Source organism: Homo sapiens, chromosome 19 (genome assembly GCF_000001405.40).
Source record: "Homo sapiens chromosome 19, GRCh38.p14 Primary Assembly".
Classification (NCBI taxonomy): domain Eukaryota; kingdom Metazoa; phylum Chordata; class Mammalia; order Primates; family Hominidae; genus Homo; species Homo sapiens.
This window is the reverse complement of record NC_000019.10, coordinates 51,136,559-51,154,068: the sequence shown is the minus strand read 5'-3', so window position 1 is coordinate 51,154,068 and position 17,510 is coordinate 51,136,559. Positions and strand designations below refer to the sequence as shown.

Here is a 17,510-nt window from a genome sequence, read left to right as displayed (position 1 = left end):
GAAATCATGGGCAGCATGGCCATTGGAAGCTCTATCTGCTGATCAGAGCTATGCAGGCTGGGGCAGGCCATGCGCAGAGCTGGGCTGTAATTTCAGGCGCCTCCTTTCTCAGCTCCTGTGTGTCCAGGTTCTCGGATTCCTTCACCAGAGGCCATGGAGTCAACGGAGATGCTGCAAACTTATGGCTAAGGGGTGCCCAGTCAGTGGTTGCTTCACTCAGTGCTGGGTGCCGGGTGAGAGAAGAGACCTCAGAATCAGGCAGGGATTAAATTCCAGTCCTGCCCTGAGTACCTGAGCGACCTGAACGCAGCCCCCGTGAGGCTCCCGCACCTCGATGCACCATGGAACGATCAAGTCAGCATGATTAGCACATCCATCAGCTCAAATTTTTATCTTTTTTTTTTTTTTTTGGTGACAACATTTAAACTCCTCTCTTTTAGCTATTTTGAATTATTCAGTACATTACTCTGTCATTGGAAACAACACAGATGAACTTAGAGGATGTTATGTTGAGTGAAATAAGCCAGGCACAGAGAGACAAACACGTTACAATCTCACTATATTCGGAATCTAAAGTAGTCATCCTTAGAGAAGTACAGAGGAGAATGGTGGGTACCAGAGGCCAGGGCGGGGAGTGTGGACCGATTGGATGGGGAAAGGGAGAGTTTGGTCATCAGGCATGCATTTTCAGTTAGACAAGAGGAATAAGTTCTGATGTCTTGTTGCACAGCATTGAGGGCTGCTAATTCTACTGGAATCAGCCTCAGACTCCTTTGCTGGAGGGGTCGTGAACCCTCAAACAAGCCCGAGCCTCTGCATTTTCTTACTTGGGGATCTTGATCTCTGAGTACTCATTGTTGGTGGCTTCTTGTCCTGATAGGTCCTGAGGCTCCCCCTTATGAAAGCTGAGGGGTGCATACTGGATCTCTCTTTCCTCCCCTGAGGAGTGGGCAGCCAGGCCATGGTGTCGGGGGTTATCATCTGCCCAGGACTCAGTCAGGTTACCCTGAATGGAGAGAGAGAAGAGAGTCAGAGCAGAGCAGTGGAAATAGGATAAGGCAGGGAGAGTCACAAGTTGTTTGATCGGTTGGTTGGTTCGGATATATTCCTCTGTATAGAATTAAACTTCATGAGTTCCTGCCTCTATCCCACGTTCATTTTATAGAAATCTCCTTCATTTATACTTTCCTGCAATATTTAACACTTATTGAGCAACTTGTTTGGTGTTTATTAATCTTATTAACTTCCCGCAACAACTCCATGAAGAAAGTAGCGTACCCAAACTCCCTGTTATGCCGGGACCCAATCCAGTCCCTTCCTTCTGACCCCAAAGCCTGGAGTCCTGCTGGGGCCCTCTGTGTGTGAAGCCCTGATCCGGGTGCTGGATGGACTGTGGTGGACACAGTAGGTGTTGGCCCTGACCTCCTGAAACTCACTTTTTAATTGAGGGAATTTGGCAAAAATGACTGTCAAACAAACGAATATCTATGTGTGAATTATAAGATGGGCAGGAAGAGGCTAAGTGAGAGAGAATTACAGGGCCTTGATTTGGATGGGGCACCTGCTCTTAGGAAGCTCACAGTTCGGTGGTATGGGGAGGACAACTCAGTCAAAGAAATTATATCCTCTGATAAGAAGTATAACTGCTCCCCAAAATGTCCATACCCTAATCCCCTGAAACCTGTGAATCTGTTACGTTACATTGCTAAAGGGACTTTACAGATGGAGCTAGGTTAAGGATATTGACATGGGGAGGTTATCCTGGATTATTTGGGTGGGCCCAGTGGAATGACAGGAGTCCTTACAAGTGAAAGGAGGAGGGCTTAGAGAGATTGGAAGATGCCAGGCTACTTGCCTTGCAAACAGAGGAAGGGACTTGAGCCAAGGAATGCAGGTGCCTCTAGAAGCCAGAAAGGGTGAGAAATTGCATCCTCCCCTGGAGCCTCCAGAAGGAACCAGCCCTGCCTGCCAATGCCTTGATTTTGGCCCAGTGACACCCATTTTGGGGTTGTGACCTTCAGAACTTTAATCCATGTGTGTTGTTGGAAGCCAGGAAATGCATGGTAATTTGTCACAGCAGCCACAGGAAACTAATACAGACTCACACAGCAGAGAGTGACAGAGGCTGCCTGGGAGGGTCCTCCTTCATCGCAGCCCTTCCCTGCTGCTCCCCTGTGCAGAAGATGCTCCATGGAACTGTCAGTGATTTTGCTTGCCAGATTCTCTCTTGATTACTCAAATTAATATTCACACACATACCAAGTCTAAGCACTGCTACTATCAAGGTCACTGTGACTACCACTTAAGTGGCTGAGTCTAAATGTCCACCTTGCAGTCTTCTCCTTCCTGGACTTTTCAGCAGCAGAGGACCCAGCTGCTCACCTTCCCTACACAGAAGGCCTTCTTGACTCAACTATAGGACATCATGCTTTTCTGGGTCCACCTCACCTTCTTGGCAACCTCTTTGCCAATTGCTTCAGGTCTCCCTGACCTTAAATATCAGAGCAGCCCCGGGTTCTTTTCTTCTTTACCTTTGCCTTGTGATCTTATCCACTGTGTTGGCTTCATGCCATCAATAGGCTAATGACTCCCAAATCTGTACCCCCAGCCCACTCCTTTCTCCTGACTATAGTCTTTGATCCAGTGGTATAATTCAAACCCCCGCGTTCTTGTCCAAAGACACACAAAACTCAACCTATTCAATCTGAACTCCTCCTTTTCTTTCCCAAATCCATTTCTTCTGCAATCTTCTCAGCCTCAATGATTGGCACCTCCATTCTTCCCACTGCTCAGGGCAAAAATCTGGAAGTAATTCTTGCTCCCTTTCTGTGGCTCACATTCTAATTCCAATTCATTAACAAATCCCAGTAGGTTCCACTGCAGAATTCATCTGGGAGACAGTCATGTCTACCACTGCTGCTATCTTGGTTCCAGCCAACACCACCTTCTGCCTGGGATGTTCACCAGCCTCCTGTCTACCTCCTATGCTCTCTCCTTCCCCTGCCACACACACGGTCTCTTCTGCACACAGTGGCCAGAGGAATCCCATGAAAATGAAAGTTGATCATGTTCTTCTGGTCTACAGCTATACCACCCTGAACGGACCCAATCTCGTCTGATCATGTCCTTCTGCTCAAAACTCTCCAAATGCTCACAGTAGCCTGTGCAGTCAGACACAATTCACATAGGCTCAACTCCTCCAAAGTCATTTCCTGCTCTCAGTCCTGCCTCCCTCTGTCTAATCACACAGATGTCCCATGGCTCCTCTCCTTTCCTCTTCCTGTGCCTGGGCCTTGCTTTGCTCCTCCCTCTGCCTGGAAGGCTCTTCAATCACACAATAAATGTCAGATCTGAGCCTCCTTCTGTTCCTACTGAAACTATTCCCAAATACGGAGGAAGACTGACTCTTCCCTAACTCATTCTATGAGGCCAGTATCATCCTGATACCAAAATCTGGCGAAGACACAACAAAAGAAGAAAACTTCGGGCCAATATCCTTGATGAACATTGATGCAAAAATCCTCAACAAAATACTTGCAAACTGAATCCATCAGCACATCAGAAGGTTAATCCAATATGATCAAGTCGGCTTCATGTTGGTTCAACATACACAAATCAATAAATGTGATTCACCACACAAACAGAACTAAAGACAAAAACACATGATTATCTCAATAGATGCAGAAAAGGCTTTTGATAAAATTCAGCATCGCTTCGTGTTAAAAACTCTCAGTAAACTAGGTATTAAAGGAACATATCTCAAAATAATAAGAGCTATCTATGGTGAACGCAGAGCCAACATCATATTGAATATGGAAAAGCTGAAAGCATTCCCCTTGAAAGCCAGCACAAGACAAGGATGCCCTCTCTCACCACTCCTGTTTAACGTAGTATTGGAAATTCTGGCCAGAGCAATCAGGCAAGAGAAAGAAATAAAGAGCATCCAAATAGGAAGAGAGGAATTTAAACTATCCCTCTTTGCAGATGCATGATTCTATATCTAGAAAACCTCGTAGTCCCAGCCCAAAAGCTTCTTAAATGATAAATAACTTCAGCAAAGTTTCAGGATACAAAATCAATATAGAAAAATCACTAGTATTTCTATACATCAGGAACTACCAAGCCAAGAGTCACATTAGGAACACAATCCCATTCACAATTGCCACAAAAAGAATAAAATTTTTAGAAATACAGCTAACCAGGGAGGTGAAAGAACTCTACAATGAGAATTACAAAACACTGCTCAAATAAATCAAAGGTGACACAAATGGAAAAACATACTATGCTCATGGATAAAAAGAATCAAAATCATTAAAATGGCCATACTGCCCAAAGAAATTTATACATTCAATGCTATTTCTATCAAACTACCAATGAGATTCTTCACAGAACTAGAAAAAACAATTTTAAAATTCATATGAAACCAAAAAAGTGCCCAAATAGCCAAGGCAATCCTAAGCAAAAAGAAAACCTGGAGGCATCACGTTACCCAAATTTAAACTATATTACAAGTCTACAGTAACCAAAACAGCATGGTAGTGGTACAAAAACAGACACATAGACCAATGGAACGGAATAGAGAGCCCAGAAATAAAGCCACACACCTACAACAATTTGATCTTCAACAAAGCTGACAAAAAAAAGCAATGGGGAAAGGACTCCTGATTCAATAAATGGTGCTGGGATAACTGTCTAGCCACATGCAGAAGATTGAGTGGGACTGCTTCCTTATACCACATATAAAAATCAACTCGAGATGGGTTAAAAACTTAAATGTAAAACTCAAAACTATAAAAACTCTGGAAGACAATGTAGGCAATATCGTTCTGGATAAACAGGCAAAGATTTCCTGACAAAGATGCCAAAGCAATCACAACAAAAGCAAAAATTGACAAATGGGATCTAATTAAACTTAAGAGCTCCTGCACAGCAAAATAAACCATCAACAGAGTAAACAACCGGAATGGGAGAAAATACTTGCAAACTATGCATTAGGCAAAGGTCTAATATCCAGCATCTATAAGGAACTTAAACAAATTTACAAGAGAAAAACAACCCCATTAAAAAGTGAGCAAAGGACATGAACAGACATTTTTGGCCAACAGACATATGAGAAAAAGCTCATTATCGCTGATCACTAGAGAAACGCAAATCAGAACCACAATGAAATATCATCTCACACCAGTCAGAATGGCTACTTTTAAAAAGTAAAAAAAATCACAGAGGCTGGCAAGGCTGCAGAGAAAAGGGAACACTTATACTGTCGGCAGGAGTGTAAATTAGTTCAACCACTGTGGAAAGCAGTATGGTAATTTCCTGAAGAGCTAAAAGCAGAACTATCATTTGACATAGCAATCACATTACTGGTTTTATACTCAGAGTAATAAAAATCATTCTACCATAAAGACACATACAAGCAAATGTTCATTGTAGTACTATTCACAATAGCAAATATATGAAATTAACCTAAATGCCCATCCATGACAGAATGGATAAAGAAAATATGGTACAAATACACCATGGAATACTGTGCAGCCATAAAAAAGAATGAGATTATGTCTTTTGTGGGAACATGGATGGAGCTGGAGGCCATTATCCTTAGCAAACGAACACAGGAACAGAAAACCAAATACTGCATGTTCTCACTTATCAGTGAGAGCTAAATGATGAGAACTCATGAACACAAAGAAGAGAACAACAGACACTGGGGCCCACTTGAAGGTGGAGGGTGGGAGGAGAGAGAGGAACAGAAAAAAATAACTGTGGGGTACTAGGCTTAGGACCTGGGTGACAAAATAATCTGTACCACAAACCCCTCTGACCAGAGTTTATGTATGTAACAAACCTGCACATGTACCCCCAAACCTAAAATAAGAGTTTTTTTTAAAACTATCACAATTACTGAGATTTTTGGCACCTTCTTAAATTTTGCATGCTAGGCCAGGACCTCACTCATCTCACACTAATTCCAGCCCTGCTAGAGAGGTAGATGTTTAAGAGACGAGAATGTGCAGGGCTGCAGTTATGAAGTTTGGGCTTTTTCTCTAGGTTAGGGCTTGTCAAACTAGAGCCCTTGGGACAAATTCTACCCACAGCTTGTTTTTATAAATAAAGTTTTACTGGCACACAGCCAGCTAATCATTTACACATGGTCTACGGCTGATTTCCTGCTACATCAGTAGAGTTGAGGAGCTGCAATGAGACTGTGTAGGCCAGAAAGCCAAAAATATTTCCTATCTGGCCTTTCCAGATAGTATTTTCTGGCTTCTGCTCTAGACAGTGTTGGGGGTGGGAACAGCTGTCCAGATGCAAAGAAACTGATCAGTGATGGCTTCTGAATGATTCCTCCCATCAGGGCAGGGGACACAAGAGGCAGGGAGGTGAGGAAGTCCAAGACAGAGATCCTCAGGCCTCAGCATTGAGAGAGTTTAGGATTGGTGGGGGTGGGAGCAATGCTAGCCATTCTTAGGGAGGAAAAATGGACAAGATTTGGTGAATGTGGAGCTATAGAGAAGAAAGGGAGGACAGAGAGGAGATAACTCCTCCTCCATGCCTGGCCCGAGAGAAAGTAGGTAGGAGGGACTGTCATGCAGTCAGCAAGATGGGGAATCCTGCAGGAGAAGCTGGATGGTGGGAAGGAGGAGGAGATGAGGAGATAATTTTGGCCATGATAAGCAGAGAAATCCTGGAGGCCATCCTGTGGGAGATGTCCCAGCTGGATGCTGGGTGTGGAGACGCCCATATCACTCACCTGAGAGGCTGAGCCCCTGATGGTGTTTGCATCCTTCATGCCTATGTCTCCCACGTCCGCTGCTGGCCTTGCCGATTTCTTCCTGCAGGACCTCACTCTGAGTGAAGAGACCAGAGAGCCTTTCAGTGTGGTCAGATCGGGGTGCAGTGGGCAGACCAACCCCTGCCCTGTATTTCCTGTTGGGGCGCTGGAGGGGTAACTGAGGTGGGAGGAGGGTGGTCCAGTCCCAGAGACCCCAGTGTTGAAAACAGAGGCTCCTGCCTCCTGGGTGGTGGGGCCCAAGGTTCACCACAGATGTGGAGCCCCACAGACAAGGGCGCTCTTGAAATTCTTGCCACGCACCCGTGAGCTCATTCTTGCCCCAAGCTCTTGACCCATGCAGTCCCTTCCAGCTCTGGCTTCAGGGATCCTGCTCCCAGTCCGCCCTCCCCCAGGACTCTCCCTCCCTCCCTAGGGTCAGTGCTCACACAATGAAGATGACACAGAAGGAGAGGAAGACCAGGGCTGTGGCTCCAGCTCCCCCGACCGCCCCCAGCAACACTCCTGATACAGGCCTCATTTTGCCTGAGGATGGATTGGAATTGTTTTGGTGATCCAACTCCAAGAACTGGGTCTCTTCTCCTCCCACTTCCTATAAGGCCCCCAACTTGGGTACCCTAATCCCCCTTCCCAGAAACAAAGGGCAAGAATGGGAGGGAGGAGGAAGGGACAACTCCTGAGGTCACTGAGGCATGAGAGTGGTAAGCACAGCCTGCCTGTATTTGAAATTTTGATTTGTATTCACTGTCAAATTATTTTGCAATAATTTTTAGTTTTTAATAAAGATAATCACATCCAATATTATTTCACTTGCTTGCTGAGTTGTTTTATTTTTTGTTTTTTAGTCGTGTGCCCAGAAGTGAGTGCCTTGCTTGTGTCACCCTAGTCCAGGCACTGGAAAGCAAGGCACGTGTCTCCCCAAACACACCTGTCCAGGCCCCAGCTCCTCCCCTCCAAGACCCACTCCTCCCCTCTTCCTGCCTTACACACCTTTCCTGGCAGGAAGAGGACAGCAGTGCCCTGGGTTGCAGGGAAGTTCCAGGCCTCACAGCTGAGCACAGACCAGAGCTGAGCTCCCCCTTGAAGCTCAGGGGCAGTGGGTGGCCCATGAGGGTGGGGCAGGTGTGTTCTCCTCCTCCAGCCCCTCCCTTACCCACCTGTGTACTCCTGTTGCAGGGAGAGGTTCAGGGAAACGTGCTGGGAACCCAGAGAGTTCTGAGCTCGACAGGTGAATTCCCCTTCATCCCCCAGGTGCACTTGCAGCTCCAGTACCAGAGGGTTTGAGGGCTGTGAGGGGTACAGGGTCAGACTCCTCCAGGTCCAGCTCAGCCTGGCAGGGGGATTGCTGTCAACAGCACAGACCAAGCGCAGAGACTGGCCCTCTAGGACTGAAAGAGATGAGCTGTTCCCCAGAGCTGTGGATGCTGTAGAGAAAAAGTTGGAGGTTCAAAGAGACAAAGTGATTGAAACAGGGAGGAAGGATACAGAATGAGACTGGGGAATGGAACAGAGAGTGATGTAGGCTGGTGCAGGGACATACTTATGTTCACCGCTCACTGTTGGGAATGTAAACTTGCCCACCTTTATTTGAGGACAACTTCACCATATCTTTCAAAATCAGAAAGAACATATGACACTGGTAAAATGTGCTTTTAGGAATTTATCCTATACACTTAGATATTCCTTGTGGGAGTAGATACAACATTATTCATTGCAGTGTTCGTGCCGTAGGATAAAATTAGTGCCATGATCTTCCATTAGGAGATGCCACAAAATCAGAGACTATTCAGACAGTGGAATCACACACATCCCTAGAAGAGGGTGCAAACAGTCTCACTGCTGACATCAAACCACCTCTGAGATCTTCCAGGTGCACAAACCAAGGCTCAGGACAGCCTGGACAGACCCTGGTTGATTCTGGGGACACATTTTACTGTGAATTTAAAATTTTTGCCCACGTGATTATAGCATGTATCCAAAAGAACGTAGCTCAAAACTATTGGGTAAAATAAAAAGACGAGTTAGGTGGCATATTCAGGAGATGGAAGATAAGAGGCCCAAAGGCTGCTCCTGCTATATGTATTTCCCCCTGTCCTGGCTGCAGGGCTGAGGAGGGTGTGTGTGCAAGAGTCTGAGGGGAGTGGGGGGAAGAGGACAGGTGCTCAGGTGGCCACAGAGGCTAAGGATGGGGAGGAGGCCTGGGTTCAACTACAAGGGAGTCTCATATCACCAGGGTGAGTCCAGGATGAGGAGGGACCTGGCCCTGCCCTGAGCTGAAGGCCCTGCTCCCCCAGCCCCAGGGAGGGGGCTCCATCCTACCTGTGCCTTCTCCTTGGAAGACAGTCACAGTCAAGTTCTGAGGAGGGTCTGGGACAGAAAGACATGGAGACCTGCATCACTGTGAGGGCTGGGGACACTGGCCCTGTCTCCCCAGGAGCTGCATAAATGGGGAAGGCGGAGCCAGCGTCCTCCTGATCCCACAACCAGCCCAGATTCTGGGACCCAGCACCCAGTGTCGAGCCCTGACCCCATCCTCTGCCCTCAGGGACGTCCCCCCCTCATCAGGGACCAGGGCGTCCTGGCTCAGCACTCACAGGACACATTGAGTTGGATGGTCCTGTTCGTGGTCACGCCGGCCCCAGGCAAGGTCACCTGACAGGTGAGGCTGGTGCCGTGGTGCTGGGGCTGTGGGATGAGGGTGAGCACTGAGGAGCGGGTGGTGGAGGGGTGCAGGGGGGACACAGAGGTCCCCATCCAGGAGATCATAGGGGGCGTCCCCTGCTCACAGGCCCAGGGCACAGAGCAGGTCAGATTCTGGAAGCAGCCAGACTCCAGGGTACCGGGGATAAGGATGTTGGGCCTGTGGGTCAAGGCTGGTGAAGAGAGGGGGACTCAGGATCAGGACAGAGGATCCATGGTACAGCCCTGGGGGAAGCTCAGGCTCTGGTTCAGCTTCTGCCCTGAGCCCAACTCGCTTCACCCTCAGCCCTCTCCCAGGGCAGGGGCCCCATCCCAGGCTTTCGCTGCCACCCCCATGACCTTTCCCTGTGGTGTCTCCTGGAGCCTGTGCCTTATCTGTCACATTCACAGAGAGCTGCTTCGTTTTGTAATTCCATCTTATCTGTCCTCTCTCCACCTGGAAGTAGTAGTTCCTCAAATCCCCCTTCCTGGCATCTCTGATGCTCAGGGAGCAGTTGTTGGTCTTCAGGTCCCCAAGGAGGTGGAATCGGCCCCGTGTCTCCTGCACTTTTCCATTTGGGATGTTTGTGGCCACTGGATTATTCCATTGTATATTGATCCCTTTCTTAAACCAGCATCCATGGACAGGGCTAGAGTCAGTTCAGTTGTAATAGGGTTAAAGGACACTGCAGGGCACAGAGACGCACTAGCCCTCCTGCACCATCACCAACTCCAGCACCTCCAGCCTGTATCTTGACAGTGGGGCCTGGGACGCTGTGGGGAAATGAGGCTCAGCCCAGCCCCGACTGTCCCTCTCTTCATTTGCCCACAAGAGAGGCAGCAGCATCTCTGAGACAGAGGGTTCCTGGGCTCCTTGTGTGAGCAGAGAAGTGGGAGGGAGAGGAGGGGCAGGGCTGTGGGACCCACAGGGGGCTGGAGAGGGGCTGGAGAGGAGCTGGAGACCTCAACCCAGCACGAAAGAGAAACTACAAACCCACATGCTATAGGAACTGGTTCCCTCTGCACAGAGTGAAGGAAACCCTGAAGCTCAGAGACCCTAGAGACCCACCCAGGGAGGAGAAGAGACCGTGTCCCACCTCCTACCTCCGGGCTTCCCTGGAGCACCAGGGCCTGCACCAGACACGTAGGTCCTGCCCTCCCGGCCTCTGGACCATCGTGGAGGTCCCTCCTGTCTTTTGAGCATCTAAATGTGGATCTCCGAGGACCTCAGGGCATGAGAGATGGAGGGGCCGTGTGCTGAGTCTCCCTGTCCAGGCTCAGGTGCCTCTGCTGCCCTTGGTTTGCGCCAGGAAGTGCTTCCTCCCTGGCCTGGCCTGAGAGAGTCACGGGGTTGTGTAGACCTAAGGCTCTCAACTGGGGAGGACTTAACCCCCCAGGACGTTTAACAATGTGTGGAGATAATTGTTATTGTCTCACTGCATGGGTGGAGTGGGTGCTTCTGGCATCTGGTGGGGAGAGGCCTGGGATGGTGCTAAACCCCGGCCATGCCTAGGACAGGCCCCAAAACAAGGAGTCATAAGGCCCCACATGCCACAATGCCAGCGTCAGAGGCAGGATGAGGATGTCAGGCCTGTGGGTCAGGGCTGGTGAGGGGAGGGGCCTGCAGGATCAGGAGGGGCATCCAAGGTGCGGTCCTGGGGAAGCTCAGGCTCTGGTCCAGCTCCTCTCCTGAGTCCATCACCCCCGGCCCCCTCCCAGGACATGTGTCCCGTCTCAGCCGTGCCCTAAAGCCCTCATCACATTTGCCTTTGGCCTCTCTTGGAGCCCGTGCCTTACCTGTCACGTTCACAGAGAGCTGGTCATATTTATAATTCCATTTTATATTTCCTTTCTCCATACGAAAGAAGTATCTCCCCGCATCACTCATTCTGGCATCTCTGATGCTCAGGGTGCAATTTTTGGTCTGTGGGTCCCCAAGGAGGTGGAATCGGTCCCGAGTTTCCTCCTGCACTGCCCAAGCTGGGTTGTTTGTGGCCACTGGAGCCTTCCAGCTTATATCATTCCCTGCCCGGAACCAGTAGCCATGAACTGGGTCAGAGTCAGTCTGGCTGTCCACTGGGTAGGAGAAGGAGCAGCGCACATGGACACACATGCCCTCTTGCACGGTCACGGAACTCTGCATCGTCAGCGAGTAATCCTTCCGGTTACTCTTCTGTCCTTCCACCCTCTCCCTCCCCCAGAGCAGGGGCAGCAGCAGCAGCAGCAGCATATCTGGGGTTGGAGGTGCCAGGGCCGCGAGGGAACGTCTGTTCCTCAGGGTTCTTCTCTCAGGAACTGCGGGCTCAAGACTTAGAAGAGGCCCTACAGGAAGTCGGTGGTGAGGTCAAAACAGTGACCTCCTTAGAAGAAGAACTTCACACACAGACACTGTCAGGGCTGGGTCAGCCCTGGGAGATCCACCGTCCACCACCCGACATTCACTCCTGGGTCCCTGAGGCCAGAGCGGGAGACAGACTCACCCAGATTCCCACCCCATGCAGGGCCCACCCCACCTCCTGCCTCCCTCTCAATGCCTTTCCCTTTAGGTGATATTTTCTGCAGGGTGAAAATAACTCCCATCTGCCCAGACCCCTGAGTCACAGGCTGTGGATGTCTGCGTAGCTCAGAAGTGGGACTCGGGGCCATGAGAGACAGGGGTGCAGGTGGGGTGAACAGGCAGCCTCTCATCCCTCCCTCAGCAGCCACGAGGTGGGCACCCCCTTTCTGCACAATGAGGTCAACACAGCAGAGCCGGACACTGTCCCCAAGGAGTCACTGTGTGGTGGGGAGACACTGAGTCTCCTGACGTTTGAGCTCCCCATGACAGGAGCTTCAGTGGGGGGCACAGGCAGGGTGGGGTCACTCTCCCCTAGGTCGGGGGTTCAGTCTCAGGAGGACCGAGCAGACGGACATGGGGCTGTGAAGGTGAGGATTGCGCCTGTTGATACACGCCAAGGACACGGAGGGGAGCCCAGCCTGCAGGAGGCCGGGGAAGCTGAGGCTGTGATTGTTGTATTGTGGGGCTTGGTAGACAGGAAAGTCATAAGGGAAAGGATCAATATGAAAAGAGCAGACACTATTCCCATCCTCACAGCTCTCTGAGCACAAGGACATTTCCCTTCACCACTGCTATCTCATGAGGCCTGGTTAGTGCAGAGTGTGAGGGGTCTGCTGGCCCTGGGGCTTTGCTCCTGCAGGAACTGCTCCTAGGGGTTCAGGTGAACAGGAGACGTGGAGCAAAGACACCAGCCCCGGGGCGTCCACCCTCAGTGATGGGCGCGATTTTCTGAGAGAAGAAACACGCACCTGACTTCAACAGAAGATTATTTTAAACTGTGTGACTGGGCTGGGAGGAAGTGGGAAAAATCCTGCAAGCTGCAGCCCCCTTAGATCCAGGCCAGCTTTTCTTGAAACAGTTTTTTTTGAGCGGGGAGAAACACAAGACATGTACATAAAAGTGTCCCCTAAAAACCAACTCAGTGATTCACACAAAATAAGCACCCTTGAAGAACTAGAACACAAAAGAACTGTCAAGTCTGTCCCTTGAAATGAAGAAAGAGATTTTATTAATTCATTCACCCTTACATTCCCCTTTCCTATTGGCCATGCCCCCGCTCCCTCCTGAAGGAGCCCCTAGCCTCACTTTAATGATAATAGTCTTCCTGCTGTTCTATGTAGTTTTATCATCGGCACATGCTGCCTTGAAAATTCTAACTTCACGTAGGTTTTCCTGAAGATGTTGTATACATAGAAAATCCCAGTCTGTTTTCTTCCATACAACTGCATTGATCTGCTCAGCCCACACTGTCCCCTAATTGTCCATAACCTAGAGATCATTTGGCTGTAACGATTGAGAGAGGAAGATGCTGGGTTTGGGCGTCCGAAGCCACTCCCCGCCCTCACCTCCAATCCCTGCATTTGCAGCTAGTATCTCATCCTGCAGACCAATCTGCCTCCTGGGCGCCTCCTCCTTGCCCAGCCACTCTCTCCCCATAAGGATATTTGCAGTATCTCAGTGGGCAGAAGTGTTACCGGATGGTGCCATGCAGTTCCAGGCTCTTGGTGTCTTAAACAAAGAATTGGATGAGACACACACAGACAGCAAAGCAAGAAGCAGCAGTTTATTAAGCACAGTATCACACTCTTGGAGAGGGAGAGCGAACTGATCTCTATGAGGTGAGATCAGCATTACTTTGGGTCTTTTTATGTTTGTTTGTTTGTTTTTTTGTTTTTCTTCGCTTCCCAAGGCTGCCAAATCTCTATCCAGTGTCTGCCTTTTTTCGGGGGGAAGGGGTGGTGGTGAGGTGGGGACGAAGTCACCCAAGCTTGAGTGCAGTGGCACAATCTTGGCTCACTGCAACCTCAACCTTTTGGGTTGAAGCGATTCTTCTGCCTCTGCCTCCCTGGTAGCTGGGACTACAGGCGCCCGCCACCATGCCTGGCTAATTTTTGTATTTTTAGTAGAGATGGGGTTTCACCAGGTTGGCCAGGCTGGTCCTGAATTCCTGACCTCAAGTGATCCGCCCACCTTGGCCTCCCAAAGTGCTGGGATTACAGGCGTGAGCCACCGCGCCTGGCCAGTGCCTGCCTTTTTGATGGTTAAGTATGTTGCTTAGTTACTTTGACCCATCCCATAATTTTAAGTACATGGATAATATGCAGTCCATATGCATGAACTTTAATGAGCTGATTATCATACAGGGTCATGTTAAGGATACTTTTTCTCTCTAATGCACATGCATAGCTCTGAAGAACTGCCCCTTACTGGTTTGGTCCAGATCCTGCTGGCCACGGGTGTCCTTGCTCACTTCTCTATCTTACTTTTTGTTTTGGCTGCTCAACTTCTGCCTCTTGCTTCTTGCTCACCCGTCCCCTCACCTTGCTTCTGCTCTCTGCTTTTACTTATTCTGCCCTTTATCCAACTTTTAATTCTCTTTGCTATGCTCCTGCCCCATTGGTCTATGCTCCTCCTGCCTCAGAAGGGCTAGACCATGGCCCATCTCTTTCCCACAGTCCCCAGTTTGCAATTAAAATCAGAAAAAAAAATGGGAAGGAGAGACTTAAGGAAGCCACAGAATCTGTAGAAAGGAGGAACTTGTGAACCACATATGACCCAGGGGAGCTGACAAGCCCTCTACTCCCACTTCCACAGTTCGGAGAGGAAGACATCAAGGTCCACAGTGACAAGTGCTATGGTCTGAATATGTCACCTCAAAATTCATTTGTTGAAATTTGAATCCCCATGTGATAGTATTAGAAGGTATAATGATTTGGGAGGCGATTAGGCTATGAGGACTCTGGGATTAGTCTAATGGGATTAGTCCCCTCATCTGAGAGACCCAGGGGAATTTGCACAGCCCTTCCACCACATGAGAACATAAGGAAAAGGCACCATCTATGAGGAAGCAAACTGTCTCCAGACACCAAACCTGCTGGCACCTTGGTCTTGGACTTCTCAGCCTCCAGAACTGTGAGAAATGAATTTCTGTTGTTTATAAACTGGCCAGTTTATGGTATTTTGTTGTAGCAGCATGAATGGACAGAGATAGAAAGCGAATTGCCCAAATCACACAGGTCTCCTGGGCCCTGTCTCCTGCACCAATGTCTGCCCAGGAGCCACTTAATTAATCTTGTCTGCCCAGGACAGACTGGGCTGGGACAGGGGAAGCTGATGTTACTTGGAGAGTGAAAGAACTGTCAAGTCTCTCACATGAGATAAGGAAAGACATTTCATTCATTCATTCATTCATTCATTCATTCGTTCTGTATTCAGATTGTGAGCACCCGTGCTGTGCCTTGAGATTTCCAGCAAAGGGTAAGTGTTTGCCCAATCGCTCCCTCCCAGGAGGGGAAGTTGCAGCATCTCAGTGGTCAGAAGGGCTGAGCCATGGCTGACAGTGATGTCCTGCATCTGTCCCGCAGGGCTGGGTGTCCTCATCTGAGTTCTGTCTTGAGCAGGAGGGGCTCAGTCAGGCCTCTCAGCCCTGCTCCCCTGGGGGCCTCCACACCTGTAGAGCCAACACCGGCCTCAGATTAGCATCGGCCACTTCAATTCTAACTCAGGCGGGACAGGACAGCTCAGCCCCATCTGGAACTCGGGGGCCAATCCCTCGGCTTCCCTAGAAAAGAGCAGCCCTGCTCACCTGGAGTAGTAGCCCCAGGTGAGGCCACGGGTGAAGGAAAAACCAGTGCCCATGAGCGCCCCTTGATTAGGTGAGAACCAGGGGCTGGGAGCCCTCCTGATCTTCACTCGCACATCTGCACCCAGAGGGACTTCCTGGGAGTGGGGAGAAGAGGGTGAGGTTTTGTTCCTAGGTCTAGGCCCCTCTCACAGCCCAACACCTGACCAGGCTGCCTGCCCCAGCACCCGTCCAGCAGCTCCCTCTGCACAGAGAGGCTCAGGGAAATGTGCTGGGAGCCCAGTGGGTGCTGAGCCTCACAGGTGAGGTCGCCTTCACCTCCAGTCCCTTTCTGGGGCAGCTCCAGGATCCCAGTTGCTGAGAGCTGGGAGAGATTCAGTGTTCTTCCCTCCTGAGACCAGCTCAGTGAGGCGGGGGAGTTGCTGTCAGTCACACAGACCAGGCCCAGGGACTGACCCTCCAGGACAGGAAGCGAGGTGCCATTGCTCAGGGTCTTCAGGGTTGAGTGAGGAAAACAGTGAGAGCGGGGAGGGTGGAGCTGAGAGGCTGTCTCTCCCACAACCCCACAAAAACAGAAAGAGGAGACACCTGACTGTGTGACACATACTCACGAATGCAAATCCAGGAGTTCAAAAAGCTGAAAGACCCCGCAGGGAAAGAGGCTGAGCTGAGACTAGTGGGGGAGTTGGTCATATTAACAGGTGGCTAAGGGCACCTCAGGTGGAGGGGAAAAAGCACAGGCCATGAGACAGCCGGGCAGATGAAGGGCCCTGCAAATATGTGTGGGGTCTTCCAGGGGGAAATTGGAGGTGCTGGGACATGATCAGCTGAACAGCTTGGACTGAGGGTTCCAGGGAACCAGAGAGGGCCCTGAGCAGGGAAGAGGCAGTGTCAGCTCTGGATGCAGGAAAATTTTTCAGGGCTTGTGCTGCGAGGGCCACAGCATGGAGGCGAGAGGCTGCAGACCGGGATGTTGGGTGGGAAATGGAGCAATCGTCAAGACCGAAAAGGGCCTGGCCATGCAGATAGAGGGGAGGAGACAGGGAATGGAGGGAGGAGGAAGGGCATGATGGCAGACATTTTTGGGGAAGTGAAGTTTACAGGAACCCCTGACTCATGCATGGGGTGGTTGAAAACAGGAGGCAACTGGAATAAGTCCTGGGTCCTGACTGGGATAACTGAAGAGTCGGGGGTGGGGGATGGAGGCACCATGTCCAAGAAGAGGCTCAAGGGGCAGAAAGTGGGGGAGACATCAGGGCAGGGCTCACAGCTGAGCCACAAGGTGGACGTGCTCACTCAGGAAGCATGTGGAAGGGAAGGGGCAGCCCAGGGAATACGTGTCAGGCACTTTCCTGGGGCTGTCTCATCATAAGTTCCCTCGGCGTGGGAAGAACTGGCTTGGAAAAACAAGAGTAACCCCAACAGGAAGCCAGTGGGTAGGGGCAAAGTGGTAGTTCCTCACATAAGTGCAACTTCAGACTTATGGGTGCCAGAGGTGGGAGGTTTTTAGAGACGAGTGTTTTTCCCTTCCCTTCCATGTAGATCTCAGTGAGGAACAGAGAAAGCAAAAAACTCCCCAGAGTCACCCCGGCTGATATGTCTTTCATACTTGAAAGAGTTTATGAAACACTGGAATTATTTCTGCCTTGCATATTCAGAAGAACTTACCACTTAATTTTTTTGCCTGGAAAATAACATTTGCTACTCAATCAGCTTTGTTATGAAACCATGGGCTTTTCCATAGGTAGCTCACAACATGGCCTCCAGCTTCATCAAAGTGAGAAAGCAAGAGACAGCGAGAGAGAGAATGAGGCACAAGTTAGTCTTTTATAACGTGATCTTAGGCATAACATTAGCAAGCAGATTTGCAAGACCCACGGCCACCCTGCAGCTGATGCACA

General features: G+C 49.9%; 1 protein-coding gene and 2 long non-coding RNA genes across 9 annotated transcripts in view; 2 read left to right on the top strand and 1 right to left on the bottom strand.

Annotated features, from left to right (window-relative positions):
- Positions 1 to 1,146, top strand: part of LOC101928517 (uncharacterized) — a 29,044-nt gene extending 27,898 nt beyond the window's left edge. Inside the window, exon 5 of the long non-coding RNA NR_110732.1 lies at positions 113 to 1,146. This is a non-coding gene — a long non-coding RNA (uncharacterized LOC101928517). The remainder of the gene's footprint in view (positions 1 to 112) is intronic.
- On the bottom strand, positions 543 to 11,768 carry SIGLEC7 (sialic acid binding Ig like lectin 7). 7 transcript variants are annotated; one of them, NM_014385.4, is made up of 7 exons: positions 11,267 to 11,768; positions 9,385 to 9,663; positions 9,110 to 9,157; positions 7,948 to 8,214; positions 7,219 to 7,315; positions 6,752 to 6,848; positions 543 to 1,006 (listed from the first exon to the last, which is right to left on the bottom strand). In NM_014385.4, the coding sequence occupies exons 1-7, from the start codon at positions 11,697 to 11,699 to the stop codon at positions 824 to 826; spliced, it is 1,404 nt and encodes a 467-aa protein (NP_055200.1). In that variant the 5' UTR covers positions 11,700 to 11,768; the 3' UTR covers positions 543 to 823. The 7 variants fall into 7 exon arrangements, 6 of the variants coding, with proteins under 6 accessions (NP_055200.1, NP_057627.2, XP_011525023.1 ...); NM_016543.4 differs by lacking the exon at positions 9,385 to 9,663; XM_011526721.4 differs by lacking the exons at positions 9,110 to 9,157; positions 9,385 to 9,663.
- Positions 11,769 to 13,558: 1,790 nt separating this feature from the next.
- Positions 13,559 to 17,228, top strand: LOC124904749 (uncharacterized). The gene is made up of 3 exons (XR_007067310.1): positions 13,559 to 13,645; positions 15,243 to 15,284; positions 17,152 to 17,228. It is a non-coding gene; the product is annotated as an uncharacterized LOC124904749 (long non-coding RNA).
- The last annotated feature ends 282 nt before the right edge of the window (positions 17,229 to 17,510 follow it).